Here is a 14,624-nt window from a genome sequence, read left to right as displayed (position 1 = left end):
TATGAACACCAACACACTTACTAATTGCCTAGCATTATGCTGCTCCTATGTAAAACAGTTGTACATTTGATTTCAGGAAAGGAGAAAAGTGAAGTTGGAGGGAATTTATGTAGACCTATAGGAAGAACTAGAAATATTTGTTTGTATTCAGACTCTTAGGGGCAATGAGAAAGTTCATTAGTGAAAAAAGCTAGAACACAAAAATTTCACCTTGTAAGTATCTGCGGAAATATTTCTCTTTAATGGTTTTCTTATGTTGCTAAGAAGGATCAACTTTTAACATTTCCCTTTGTGTAGTTTCTTGTCAGATCTGTGTACACGCACCTACCAAAGATAGGGTGGGAATTTGCATTTTTTATCAATCCCGGAGAGCCGATAAGTTTAGAAAAAGAAATTTAAACTTACTTTTTTTTAGAATCAAGAACTAACTTACTAGTGTTTCGCTGTACAAAATTTACAGTTAATTGAAACTTGGTTTTGCCTTCTGAACTGTTTGCAACCCAAATTGTCTGCTCTTATTTGTTTTACTTAAATTGTATTGAATACTAATATCTAACAAAGTTGTAGCCCTAAGTGGTTCCAAAATTTCATTAAGTTACTGAGAAGTGGATCTTCTCTGCAAATGTATTGTGGTGTATATGATCTCTTTTCTTCCCCTTCTATGGTTCCAGGGACTCTTCATAGAAAGTTTGGAACTATTTTCTGTTACGTGGTAGTGGTAGAAATTTGGATGGAGGAAGTTCACAGGGTTAAAAAAATAAATTGTTGATAATAACAAAATAGTTTCAAGGCTTCTTTTAATTCTCATATTTTGTGATTTTCCTTCACATCAGACATTGCATAAAGTATGTTAAAACAAGGTCCCAACTTTTGAGTTTCATTTCAATTAGACAGTAAACTATTGTCTAATCACTAGGAAATATTTTGTGAGTGTTTCATTGCATAGGGTGCTGGAATAGATGCTGATTAGAGAGAACTGCACAGACTATGTTCCTGTCCTCAGGTTATTTATAATAGCATGTGAGATGAAAACTTAAAAAAGGTCAAAACACAGAATTAGAGGAAAAGGTGAGTAAAGTATTTAGCATTTTACTTCTATTTCAGTAAAATGTCTCTTGGGAGCCTTGGGAGGCAGGATAGAATGATTAAAAATGTTCAAAGAACAAACCTTCATGTCAAATTATCCACCTGAAAAGCTGGAATTCATAAGCGTAGACCTCCTGTAAGATACAGCAAAGAATCAGCCTTTCTCTACCCCTAGACTCCCTACGTCTTGTTTAAGCCTGGATCATCTCGGTTTGGATTGCAGAAAACCAATGGAAATTGTTAGAGCTCCTCCTTATTGATCTTCCTTGCACAGCCATATAGATAATATGGTTGAGATTTAGAAGAAAAAAGAAGGTCCACGTGACTGAAAAAAAAAAAAAACTGTGTTACTGAGATGCTGAAAATACATGATTAAGTAGCCCAAATAGACAACACAAATAATTTATGTATCTTTTAAGTTGGTCAGTATGAGGTTTGTATTTAAATTGCATCTCTCCTCAATTCAAATTGCCTTAGGCTTTTGGGTATTTAAAAATATTTTGTATTCATGAACACTTCTTTTATAATTGATGTAGATGCTTGCTTATAGCCCAAGTCTAATTTGTAAGCTGGAAAGTTCATTTATTTATTCATTTTACATCTATTATATATTAGATATAATAATTGATGAGCCAAATATGATGGTATGATGGTAGGGATTGTTTTTTTGTTTTGTTTTGTTTTGTTTTTGAGACAGAATTTTGCTCTTGTTGCCCAGGCTGGAGTGCAGTGGTGCGATCTTGGCTCACTGCAACCTCCGCCTCCTGGATTCAAGCGATTCTTCTGCCTCAGCCTCCCGAGTAGCTGGGATTACAGGCATGTGCCACCATGCCTGGCTAATTTTGTATTTTTAGTAGAGATGGGGTTTCTCCGTCAGGCTGACGGATTTGGTCAGGCTGGCCTCGAACTCCTGACCTCAGGTGATCCGCCGGCCTCAGCCTCCCAAAGTGCTGGGATTATAGGCATGAGCCACTGCACCAGGCCTGGGATAGGTTTTTAAGTTAATTTTAAAGCTTACTTACATTATCATGAGCTCTATTTACCTAAATTCCAAGAAATTCTGTGTGTGGGACAAAGCAGGGTCCCACCAAGTGGCCCTGCTACACTTTGTCTAGATCTCTGTTGTAGCACTTATTGCATTTTTCTTTTTTGACAATTTTGTCAGCTGGAATGAGAGCACAGTGTGGTCTGGATCGATCTGATTGTTACTGTGTCCTCAGCACCTAACACAAAACCTACAACACAATAGAAACCCAAAAAGAGTGGCTTGGATGAGTAAAGCATCATGTACACATGCATTGCTCTATCTAAGGGCATTTTTATTCTCAATGGGTGTTAAGGCCATTTCACACTCTGGCATATCATCTCTAGGAAAAGGCAGAACCCCTCTTATCTTAATATCTTCCATAATTTGACTGAATACTGAGCTGAAGCAGTTTCACATCAGAGTGAAATCTGATTCAAGTCATTTTTGTAATAATTAGACCTTAAGGTTTAGATTGAGTTATTTGGGTGATATTTATGAGAACAACTGTTTTATACTATTCTTAAGAATATTTTTCAATTTCCTAGTAGGTAAAATCAGGCTTTGGAGAAGCAGTTCTTGCCTGGAGAGGCTGATGAGGGGTTCTCTTGAGAAACCTTCGTAGCCATCCAGTATTAATTGCTTTCCATGTATTCAGTGGGTTTATGTCCACAGAAATACATTTTATGAGTACTTTGAGAATGAAACAGTGCTGAACGGAGACAGCAGTCATATGCAGCCAGAATTTATGTGAAATTACTGATCATTCTCATTTAGGGTGGGAGTAAATGATGGTACTTTGGAGTGAAATTTCTGGTTCTGTCCTTATAGCTCATACAGGATTGTCATTTACTGTTGAGTGGATTGTGAATTCCACAAAAAAACACATCTAAAGTGTATGCTACTTATAGACATTATAAATTTGGTTATTTATTAAGATAATTTTGTGAGCAGTAAAGTGTCTGGTTTTAATAAAATCAATATATTATGGCCACTTTTATTACAGATGGGATAACATTTGATGAAGAGGTACGTTGTTTTTTTATTTTGTTTTGTTTTGTTTTTGAGACGGAGTCTCGCTCTGTTGCCAGTCTGGAGTGCAGTGGCACGATCTTGGCTCACTGCAACCTCCGACTCCTGGGTTCAAGCAATTCTCCTACCTCAGCCTCCCGAGTAGCTGGGATTACAGATGCGTGCCACCACACCTGGCTAATTTTTGTATTTTTAGTAGAGACAGGGTTTTACCATGTTGTCCAGGATGGTCTCTATTTCCTGACCTCGTGATCCACCTGCCTTGGCCTCCCAAAGTGCTGGGATTACAGGCGTGAGCCGTTGCACCCAGCTGTTTTTTTTTAAATTTGTACAAAGGCTGTATATGGACTTGCGGTGCCTGAACTTGGACAAGTTACATAACTCCTTTGGCTTTCATATGGAGATATTAATACCTACCTTGCTAAATTGGTTATAAATATTACATGTGTGTGGCACACAGTCAGTGTTCAATAAATACTTTTGAATGAATATTAAAGCACTAAGCATAATGTCTGTGATACAGATTTGGTAAATTGCGGCCCATTTTTGCCTTGAATGAGGGAAATTTTAGATTAATAGTATATGTGTAAATATGTGCCTTTGAAGTTTCTTAAGTGTTTCATATTTTGCACTTAATTACTGCATGGTACTACCTAAAATGTTCCCAATAAGATGTTTGGGATCCTTCTTTAATTTCCTGAGGAGTACACATCCAGTATAAAGGAAATTATGACTATGTGACACATTGAAAGGAAAAATTAGTGACTCATAGTTGAGCTTATTTTGGAATCCTAAAATATGGGAATCCTAGGTTTGTAAGGAAACATTTAATCCAAACTACCATCAGTTACTTGAATTTCACTTTATTTATCAGATGTATATTGATCAGTTATTATATGTTGGAACTGTGCTATGCATGAGGACTACAAAGATAAATGAGATATTCTTGTTGAGAAGTTACAGACCTTTGCGTGAACATTTCCAGGGACAATTCACAATTACTAACCTTATTTTTAGGAATCTTATGACAATTCAAAATTTATCTTTATCTTTCATTTATTGGCTTAGCTTTTCTATTTAGGGTACAAAGAAGTAAGCATAATTATTTTTTAGAAAAATATTTCTTATACATGAACGAAATTGAATTTCTTCTGAGACATCTGTTCTTCAACTGAAACATCACTGCATTACTCTGCTGTTCCTCAAGCCTCTTCACCATTTTGCTCACTCCTCTGAATGCCTTCCAGGTTGTCTGCTAAGATGTGGAACATACACATAACCAGGGTGTCCAGGCTCCAGCTGTAGATCAGCCATCACAGAACAATTTCTTTCGCATATCAGATACTGTCTTTCAAATCTGTGGCATGATTTATACTCATAACTGTGTGACCAATATGTACTATAAACTGTCTAATCCCTATTGTTATTTAAAAAGAATATAGATGATCTCTCTAATTCCTTAAGGAGCTTTTCATATACTGTTCCAACCATCAAAATGATAATAATGGGGGCAACCTTGCTAGAGGTCTAGGTTATTGAATTACTATTTGGAAGTCATTTTTGGTCCAGTTAATTAAAGCCACTGTAATTTATATAATTTACGACAGGTAGGTGGTAGATAGCTAAGGAAGGACTTCTATAGCTTTGCAGATCTGTTTTCTATAAATTGCTGTGTCACCTAAACAATTGTTTTCAATAAACAATGTGATAGGTAATTCTATTTATAACTCTAAGCACTTACTAAAAAACCTTAATATCTATTCACTTTTTATTTTAGTTAACAAATGCATGAAATGCCTCTGTACCAAGTGTACTCTGACTCAGCACTTGGGACAAGTGCCCTGCCCACCAGAACAGTAGAAGAAGACAGTTCTAACTCAGAGACAATTTATAGCTGTGCACACTGCTATGCTTTGCTACTTATAGAAGAAGGAAAGGACAAACAGGTGTGGTAATGAATTGGAAGATGGAGACAGGGAAGAGACCTCTGTCTGTATGAAGGGTGAATGTTTGGAAGCCGTGGGAGAGGTAGACCTGGATAGATGGTATGTTAGTTTCCTAGGGCTGCTATGCCAAATTACCACAAACTTTGTGGCTGAAAACAAAGAAGAGCAAAGAAATTTGCTCTTCCATAGTCAGGAGGCCAGAAGTTTGAAATCAAGGTTTTGACCTGGCCATCCATGCTACCTATCAAGGCTCTGGAGAAGAATCTTCCTTTGTCTCTTTCTATCTTTGTCTCTTGGCAATCATTGGCATTCTTTGGCTTTTATATGCATCCCTCCAATCTCTGCCATTGTCTTCACATGACCTTCCTTCCTGTGTCTCCTCTGTATCTCTGTGTCCAAATCTCTCTCTCTCTATCTCTCTTTTTTTTTTTTTTCAATAAAGACACTAGTCATGAGATTAGGGCCTGACTTAATCCAGTGTGACCTCACTTTTACTTGATGACATCTGCAAAAACCACATTTCCAAAGAAGCTCACATTTACAGGTCTGGGTAATTTAGTCTGTTTGTGCTGCCATAACAAAATACCATAGACTCAGTAATTCATAAAGACCAGAAATTTATTTCTCATAGTTCTAGAGGCTGTGAAGTCCAAGATCAAGGCACCAGCGGGTTTATTGTCCAGTGATGGTCCAGTCTCTGCCTCCAAGATGGCGCCTGGAATGCTGCATCCTCTAGAGAGGATGAATGCTGTGTCTTCACACAGCAGAAGACAAAATGGCAAAAAAGGATGAACTCTCTCCATCAAGCCCTTTTATAAGAGCAACTAATCTCATTCACAAGGGAGGAGCTCTCATGCCTAATCACCTTTTAGAGGCAATACCTCTTAATACTATCACATTGGCAGCACTTGAATTTTGGTGGAGAAACTTTCAAACCATAGCCAGGAGTTATGCCTTGAACATATCTTTTAGCGGAAACAATTCAATCCATAACAGGTGAGATGGACCAAATTATGAAACACTTTAAATGAAGGTGGAAGAGTGTGGGTTTTATTTATAAGTCGGGGGCCACTAGAAACTTTAAGTAAGGGTGCTAATGAGATAATAACAGGAAGGTCTGGTGGAGGTATGCTATAGCATGCTGAGCTGAAAATGAAGTTTAGAGATGAGGATATTAATGAGGATATCACAGCAGTGTTCCATGGATAAAGTGAAGGATAGTTTATAAGGGAAGATGTAGAAGAATGTATTTTTTCAAAGATGGCTGCAGCAATGTCTCTCATACCACTTGCTCTTTGTAATGAGATCTTCTCACAGCCTTATCAATAGGTAGTATCTGTTTCTCTACCTGTGCATCCGGGCAGACCCAGTGACTGTTTTGACCAATAGAATAGGGTGAAAGTGACACCTTGCCAATTATTAATATACGCATAGACTTTTCCTGCCCCTTTCCTACCCTGAGAGCACCAAGCTGTAAGAAGCCTGAGCCATGGAGCTATGTAGAGAGGCCCTGGAGGCAGGGCCAGGGCCAGGGTGAGGCAAGAGAGGTGCCTTGTACAAAATTTAAGGAGGTGCTCTGAGGTGCATTTGCATGACACTGAGAAGAAGTGTCCCTTAAATTTTGCACCCAAGGCACCTCTCTTAACTCGATTCACACTAGTTCTGGACCTGCCGAGGGAGAGGGAGACAGAGAGGGAGAGGGAGATGGAGAGGGGAGAGGGGAGAGGGGAGAGAGGAGAGGGAGACCAGAAACACCATGGGAAGTGCAAGACATTAAAGGAAGGAAGCCATCTTGAACGTTGGTCCTCTGGCCCAGGCTAACAGCTGGCACCAAGTGGATCAGTGGTGAACCACCAAGCTGACCCGTCCTAAACTGATCCACAAAATGATGAGTAAAACAAAATTGTTGTTTTAAGCCACTTAGTATTGAGGTAGTTTGTTATGCCACAATAGATTACCTAAAACACCCTCATGTCTTGCCAGTATTATGTGAAGCTAGTAGTTGATTGAGAAATACCAAGTTGCTCTCTATTTACTGAAATTTAACAGAGCTGAATGCTTGATAGTTCCTTAGGGTGAAAGGATGAAGGAAGTGATGAGAGAGATTATAGCGGGTAGCAGTCTAGGAAATAGAATTTAATGCCTACTTTCTTCAGTTCACTGCTTAAGCTACATAGCCATATGGCTTTTAATGTTTAGGGTTCCAGAACAAAAAGGTACACACACTCACAGTTGGGGTCTTTATAGAAACAAAACTCATGTCTGTTTTGATCTATGCCATGCAGAGTGCTGTGAAATTCCCATTTTCAAGCAAATGGTCTGAATTCTGATGCTAAATGAATAAAATTTTCCCTGGATCTCATTAGCCCGCACTTGGGAAGGAGGGGAGTCGGTTAATCTATTTCTTCTTGGCTTTGTCTGAACAAATCAAGCTTTGAATAAGAGGTTTAATTTTATGAAGACTGAAGTTACTAATTTTCATTGAGTACCTCTGTTTTACAGTAATTTACACATTCTTTTGAATGGTTGTTGGAATATTTACTTATTGTCCTCTGAGGCATTTTCTAATTACTTGTAAGCAAGGCTGAGGAAAAAGAAAATCCAGAAAAAACGTTAAGAAAGGGACTGTTTGGTAGACAAGGTGTATTACACATAAAATTAAAATATAATGGATACTTTTAAAAGCCTTTAGTCCATTTTATAGCTTTCTCTGCTTCTGCAAGTACATAGTAAGTGAAGATTTCCCAACTCATTATTCATTTCTACATGATGTTAGACATTTTTATGACCTCCTAGAGTACTTATAATCTGTACTACACAATTTAGCAGCTAATTATATTATGTTCATTATTATGTCATTATAAGTTCTCATCCCCTCAACTAGATTATATGATCTTAAAAGTCAGAGAGCATGTCTTCTGTATTCACATTCCAACTAGCATAACCACCACTTGGGGCATTTTAATTGATAGAAGCATATTGAGTTCTAGTCCCTCAAATTTCAGTGAATGTTATCTGTGGAGCACCTGTCACAGCTCTGGATATAGGGGCAGAGATAGGCAAGTTACTTTTTCTTTCCCAAGGAGTTTGTCAACAAGTGTTAAGTACCAAGTACTAAGGCGAGGGATTACTTTGACAGAGTGACTTCCTTTCTCTTTTTCCTTTAGTGTCAGAACAGGGCAGAGGAAAAGCAGAGAGCCTTGAGCCACCATGTCATTATCATTTTGATGTAGATGGATTATTGGCATTTTTTTACTTCTCTAGTTGGACAAAACCTAATGGTGTCTGACCCAGGAAGTCTTACTTGTCTGAGCCACTAGGCTAAATGGTTGGCAGAATTACATTTCTCTTGTTTTGAGTAAGCATCGGGGTATCAGACTCACATTTTTTTATTGTGATAAGACATACATGACATAAAATTTACCACTTTAATCAGTCTTAAGTGTACAGTTTAGTGATATTAAGTACATTCACATTGTTGTACAATCACCACCATCATCCATCTCTGGAACATTTTTATTATCCTAAACTGAAACTCTGTACCCATTAAACAAACACTTCCTATTCCTTCATATCCCCATTGCCTGCTAACCACTATTCTACTTTCTGTCTCTATGAATTTGACTATTCTAGGTACTTCATATAGGTGGAATCATACAGTATTTGCCCTTTTGTGTCTGGCTTATTTCACTTAGCATAGTATTTTCAAGGTCCATCCAAGTTGTATGAGGTGTCAGAATTCCATTCCCTTTTAAGACTGAGCAATAATCTGTTGTGTTGTAATAATCCATATATATAATATCTACATTATATATATATAATGTTTTGTTGAACCATTCATCCATTGGTAGGCATTTGGTTGTGAATAATGCAGCTATGAACATCGATATACATACTGATCCCCATTATTCTGAACACCAACACTGACTTAATGCTCATGGTGAGCAAAGTACCCTTCTTAGCCGTTAAAATGCCTGGAAGAGTCAGTGAATCTCTGGAATTTCATAACTTGAATTCAGACTTAAATACTCATTAGGAAAATATGACTTGGCAACATTTTTTAGATTAGGATCGTGACCAATACTGGGATTCAGTAAATATGTCCTGTTTATTTGTCCTTCAGAGTGTTTCCTGTGTCCATTTTTTTTCTATTTTCTCATGACTTAATTGTATATCCTCATTGCTAGGCAGCAGGACTCCAGCAGTCACATTCTAACTGGTCTCTCCCTTTCTGATTTTTCTTATAAAATGCTGCTTTGATCGTTTTACATTACTGGACAAAAATTTTCAGTGGCTCCTCATCATGTACAGGACAAAGCCCAAGCTCGTTTGCCTGGCACATAGGCCTCTTGGGATCTGGCAGCAGCGTACCACTCAGGCCCTACTTCTCTCACTTCATGTAGAAACTCTGCCCAAGCCAACATTGTCTTCTCATTACCCTCTGAATAAATTATCATTTTCTTGGATTTTCTCACTGCTGTTTGTTCCATCATGTATAAACATTTGGATGCTGTCTTCAAGTTTTAGCTTAAATATCAGCATCTCTGCTAACTTTTTTTTAAAAAAAGATTTTGAAATGATTGCTTGCTCTTTTGAATGTGTGTGCATTTATTGTAAGACTAATCATGTTAATGATGTTTTTGCAATAGCTAACATTTTTGAGCCCTTGGGCTAAAGCTAAGTGCATTACTTGCATTATTTCATTCATTTTTATAGCATTTTATATGAAGTATATACTATCATTATCCATTATACAGATGATGAATTTGAGGCTTTGAGATGCTAACTTGTCCAAAATCACACAACTGTTAAGTAACAGATCTAGGTCTTGATCTCAAGTTTTTGCCGCCAAAGCATCACTTAAGATGTATATTTATTGCATTAATTAGATTATAGGCCTGTAAGTGAATAAGGGCTTTACTGAATCCCCCATGGGAGCTACCCATCAGTGGTCAAAGTCAGTAAAAGGCTGCCCATTGAATAGAAATGTTTTTTAAAATTAGCTCACTGTGGATAAGCTTAGCATGATTTTTCAACTGGTTACTTCATACTGTTTCTTCAAGATGAGGAAAGCTTCACAACTGTTCATGTTTGATTAGGCGCATTCCTGAGGCATGTCTTTCTGTCATAGCACTGACCACACTGACCGTAGTTATCTGTAACCTGTGTGTCTCCCAAACATCTTTGCTTGGATTCCTGGTACCTAGAACAATAGCCTGCCTGCACATATGCTCAATAAATGCTTATTAAATGAATGAATGCATCTGTGGCCATTGTCCATCCTAAAAATTACTTTCTAAATGTGTTGCTGTTACAGAGTTGAGTAATACATAATTCCAGTAAAGTCAAACAAAGTATCTCCTCAAGAAGGCAAAATGACAATGTAAATGAAAACTATATTTTAAAAATTTGTGCTGCAACTTACCTTTCAGGATGTAATGGTTTTTGTGGTAGCATTTAACAAAGGATATTTGAATGTAAGCGGTTGATGTCTATATTCATGGAAAAGAGAACCTGTGTGTTAAAGGCATGAGTGTATTTGGTCTATAGGCAATTTGGGAGCAGGCATATTTCAGAGTTTCATACAGTGTTCTTTAAAATTAGCCAATTCTGTTTTTTCTGGTTATGTGCTTTCCAAACAATCTTCTGATTAATAATTGGATTACTCAAATACCTTGATACTTAAAAGCCAATACCATAGAGAGTAGATATTAATATACTAGGAAACGTATATTCTAAACAAAAATAAAATATGAGTCTTTATGTTTTAATTATTTAGAGTTTGTTAACTTTGTTTTAAAAAATTGAAGCAGAAAAGCTGAGGACCTACCTTAGACAGCAGTGACACATCTAAAATATTTCCCCTAGAGTTCTTGCCTGAGAAGCTAGTAAGCTTTTTCTTAATGTTTCTATATAGATAGATCCATCAATATCTGGCACATTGCTTTACATACAGTGGACATATAACAAATACTTTCTTTTTATTTTGTCATTTCAATAGAATATAGTACTCTGAAGCAACAGTTGTCAATCATTTTCTCTTTGTGACACACATGATAGATGTAACTTCAACCTTCTAACACGTTCCCACTTGCCAACTCAAGTTTATGCTTCATTTTATGTATACCAATTGTAGCTGCACTTTCTGCCTCCCATTCTGGAAGCATATGGAAATGTACATGAGAATGTGTTATTGTAGAGGTGATAATAATAAGAAATGATAATAATAATAATACTATAGCAAGAATATTTCAAATACCATCTAATCACTGTTTTGTTTGTAACCTTGCAATAGTTTCTTGTTGCCTAGAGCCAGTTCCCAAACTTTTGTTTGGGACACAGAACTCACCATGGTGGTAGTACTGGTAGCAGCTGGGTGCCTCAGCCCCTGCAGGATGGAGATCCACTCTGGCAGACCTCCAGGACCCTTCACATTCCACACCATCTGAAAAATCTCAAGAGATGTAAGAATTACAACTTAGCATTCATTGTGAGCTCATCTTGCTTCCCAGTCAGATGCGGGTATATGTAGATTCCTGGATACTCCAGGATTGTGAACTACTCTAGGGAAATCTCAGAGGCAATTTGATATGGACTGTACCTTCCTGAAAGTTTGTTAAAAATGCAGTAACAGAAATACTTTGGCCTGCTATGAAGTTAGAGAAACTGCACAACAAGGATAAACTTACTTGACTCTGAAGATTTTATTTTTGAGCACTGTACTGCCACTTCCCATTTCATTAGGAGTTTAATTCTGATAAAAATTCAGCTCCTTTGCACAACAGAATGTTAATTTTCCTTGAATTTCAGACATTTTAATAATGTCCATCCTAAAAATTACTTTCTAAATGTTCTTTTGTCCCTTATAGGCTAGTTTATGGTACTTCCAAAAGGATTCCCCAAGCAATTCGGAGCAATCGAGTCATTGATGGACTATCTTTTAATATCCTAAAGCTAAAATAGTAAATTATTTATTTATTTATTTATTTATTTATTTATTGAGACGGAGTCTCTCTCTCTCGCCCAGGCTGGAGTGCAGTGGCGTGATCTCGGCTCACTGCAACTTCCGCTTCCTGGATTCAAGAGATTCTCCTGTCTCAGCCTCCCGAGTAGCTGGGACTACAGGAGCATGCCACCAGGCCTGACTAATTTTTTGTAATTTTTGTAGTAGAGACGAGGTTTCACTCTGTTAGCCAGGATGGTCTCGATCTCCTGACCTCATGATCGGCCCATCTCGGCCTCCCAAAGTGCTGCTGGGATTAACAGGCGTGAGCCACCACACCTGGCCAATAATTTATTTTTTTCATACTCACATTATGGTATAATGGAAAGAATGACTAGGTTCAGATCCTGCTTCTACAACTTACATGCTAATTAGACATTGGGCAATGCAGTTTCTTCATGCATTCATTCATTCAGCAGATGTTACTGAGTCCTTACTTTGTGGCAGACATAGTATTAAGCTCTGAGAAGGGAAGTCAATAAAAATAATCTCTGAACGTCCACGGAGATTTTAGTCTATTGGGGGAGACTGGCAAGCAAGTTAGCAGTTAAAGTGGAGTGTTACTATGGAATTATGTAGCAGGGTAGAGTCCTGTGGAACTTAAAACCAAGGCAGGTGTGAATTGAGAATGGGGGAGAGTGTTAGGGAAGGCTTGTTGGGGAAAGCAGTGCTTAAGCTGAGTCTTAAAGCCAAGTATAATTTAGTTGAATATAGATATAGAAAAGAGATTCTAGTAGCATGAACAAGCTAACAGGGAAACATAAAATAATAAAACATGTTTATAGACCAATAATTACTGTTCATTATTACTGTTACAAGTGTTCCATCTTGATGAGACAAAGGAGATAAATCTTGGCAAATGTTTCCATTTCCTTTTCTCTAAAATGGAGATAATTATATCTACCTCGTGGATTTGTTGTGAGCACTCAATAAAACAGCCTTTGTCTAGTGCATAGCCCATGCGTGGTGTTCAACAATGCCAGCTCCTTTTGCTCCCTACCGTCCACCCTTTCTCTTGCCCTTTCTCACTCCTAATTTTCCTAGGTAGAAACACCCTGTGATGACTGAGTTATCAATTTGGAAATGATGGCCCTGTGTTGGAATGTGAAGTCTGTTTTGTTTCTGACCGGAATTGTGGAACTGAATGGGGGCTGGGCTTGACAGCAGCATCCCTTATTTTGACCCTGCTCAGCTTCCTATGTCATCACAGTTGGTATTTGAGGAGGGCACAGGCTCCCAAAGGGCACTGTATTCTTGATCTGTGTGTTTTGCTGAGCCCGGTGCTGAGCACAGGTCATGTGCGCTAGAGTGCCTGGAAAAGCCTTTGAATAATATCGTTGTGTATGCTGTCTTGTTTTTTACCACTTTGAGGTCTCTAAATTTGGATGTGTGTCAGGGAGCACAGTTTTTCAGTACATATTTTTTTTTCTGCAGAGCAGGTCCATAGCTTCCATAATCCAGCAAATATTAAGGACCCTTCCCTTTGGGGATTTTTAATCTACATTTTAATATTTCTTTCAAGGAGCATTGTCTCAAATACTGAATTGGGTCACTGGGAAGAATTACCTAGTGTGGAGAGATTTTCCTCATCCCATGGTTTATTGTTAGTAAGAAGCTGTTATTTATGTTCAAGTGAAGTTTTCCCAAATGTTTGCCATTTGCAAATATCTTTTATTATTTTCGTCATACCATGGACCATCTATTCTGTAACCTGCTTAATATTTTTCTTTAAATCTCCAGCCTTTTAAAAACATACATAAGTTTAATTTCCTCCCAAGTAATAATAGTTGTGAAGTCATGGGCTGGATGTGCTGGTTATATTTTTCTAATATATTTTCAAGCAAATCTTAAAAAATTGTTCATTTCACCACTTAATATAGGAGTTGGCAAACACAGCCAAGCCATTTTAAAATATATTCTCCATGGCTGCTTTTAAGCTATAATAGCAGAGTTGTTTAGACAGAGACAATTTGGCCTGGGAAAACAACCATATTTATTATTTGGCTCCTTAAGAACAGGTTTGCCAACCCCTGATCTTAAATTATTTCCAAACTATAAGCAGAACATAAACCTACTCTGCAGAATGTCACCCAGTGCATTCGCCAAGGGACAGTGTGTTAGATCCTTAACATTTTTTCCAGAATCAGCAAGTACTTTACCTTTTTATTCTGGACATGAAATATTTAATCAATAATATATGTTCTGAGAACTTTGGTGACAAGCCTATTTGAGATCAAAAGAAAAACACAGACATTAAGGATAATTTATATATTTTTAAATAAAGGGAATTTTTGCCTATAAAAATATCTAATGGTAAAAAAAAAAAAAAAAAAAAAAGCATAAAGTAAGAAGTCAAAATTTCCCGGCAAGGAAACTCCATTCTCACCCATTAAAAACAAAATTCCTTATATTTCCTGCTAGTCATTTTTCTGTGCCTATTCAAGAGAAAATACATTCTTTTTGTTTTTTAAAATATAGTATTTTTTAAAATTAAAAAAACATATAAATATGCACTACTTGTTTATAACTTATA

The 14,624-nt window shown here is 37.3% G+C and overlaps 2 long non-coding RNA genes across 2 annotated transcripts in view; one reads left to right on the top strand and one right to left on the bottom strand.

Moving 5' to 3' along the window:
• The window catches only part of LINC00882 (long intergenic non-protein coding RNA 882), a 130,849-nt gene that overhangs the window by 8,360 nt on the left and 107,865 nt on the right, over window positions 1-14,624 (top strand). The gene's annotated exons all lie outside the window — the stretch shown is intronic.
• On the bottom strand, window positions 781-11,772 carry LOC124909404 (uncharacterized). Its single transcript, XR_007095994.1, has 2 exons — window positions 11,438-11,772; window positions 781-1,411 (listed from the first exon to the last, which is right to left on the bottom strand). It is a non-coding gene; the product is annotated as an uncharacterized LOC124909404 (long non-coding RNA).

The sequence above is a fragment of the Homo sapiens genome, chromosome 3 (assembly GCF_000001405.40).
Source record: "Homo sapiens chromosome 3, GRCh38.p14 Primary Assembly".
Taxonomy (NCBI): domain Eukaryota; kingdom Metazoa; phylum Chordata; class Mammalia; order Primates; family Hominidae; genus Homo; species Homo sapiens.
The sequence above is the reverse complement of the archived record's forward strand: the minus strand, read 5'-3'. Positions and strand labels throughout refer to the sequence as shown.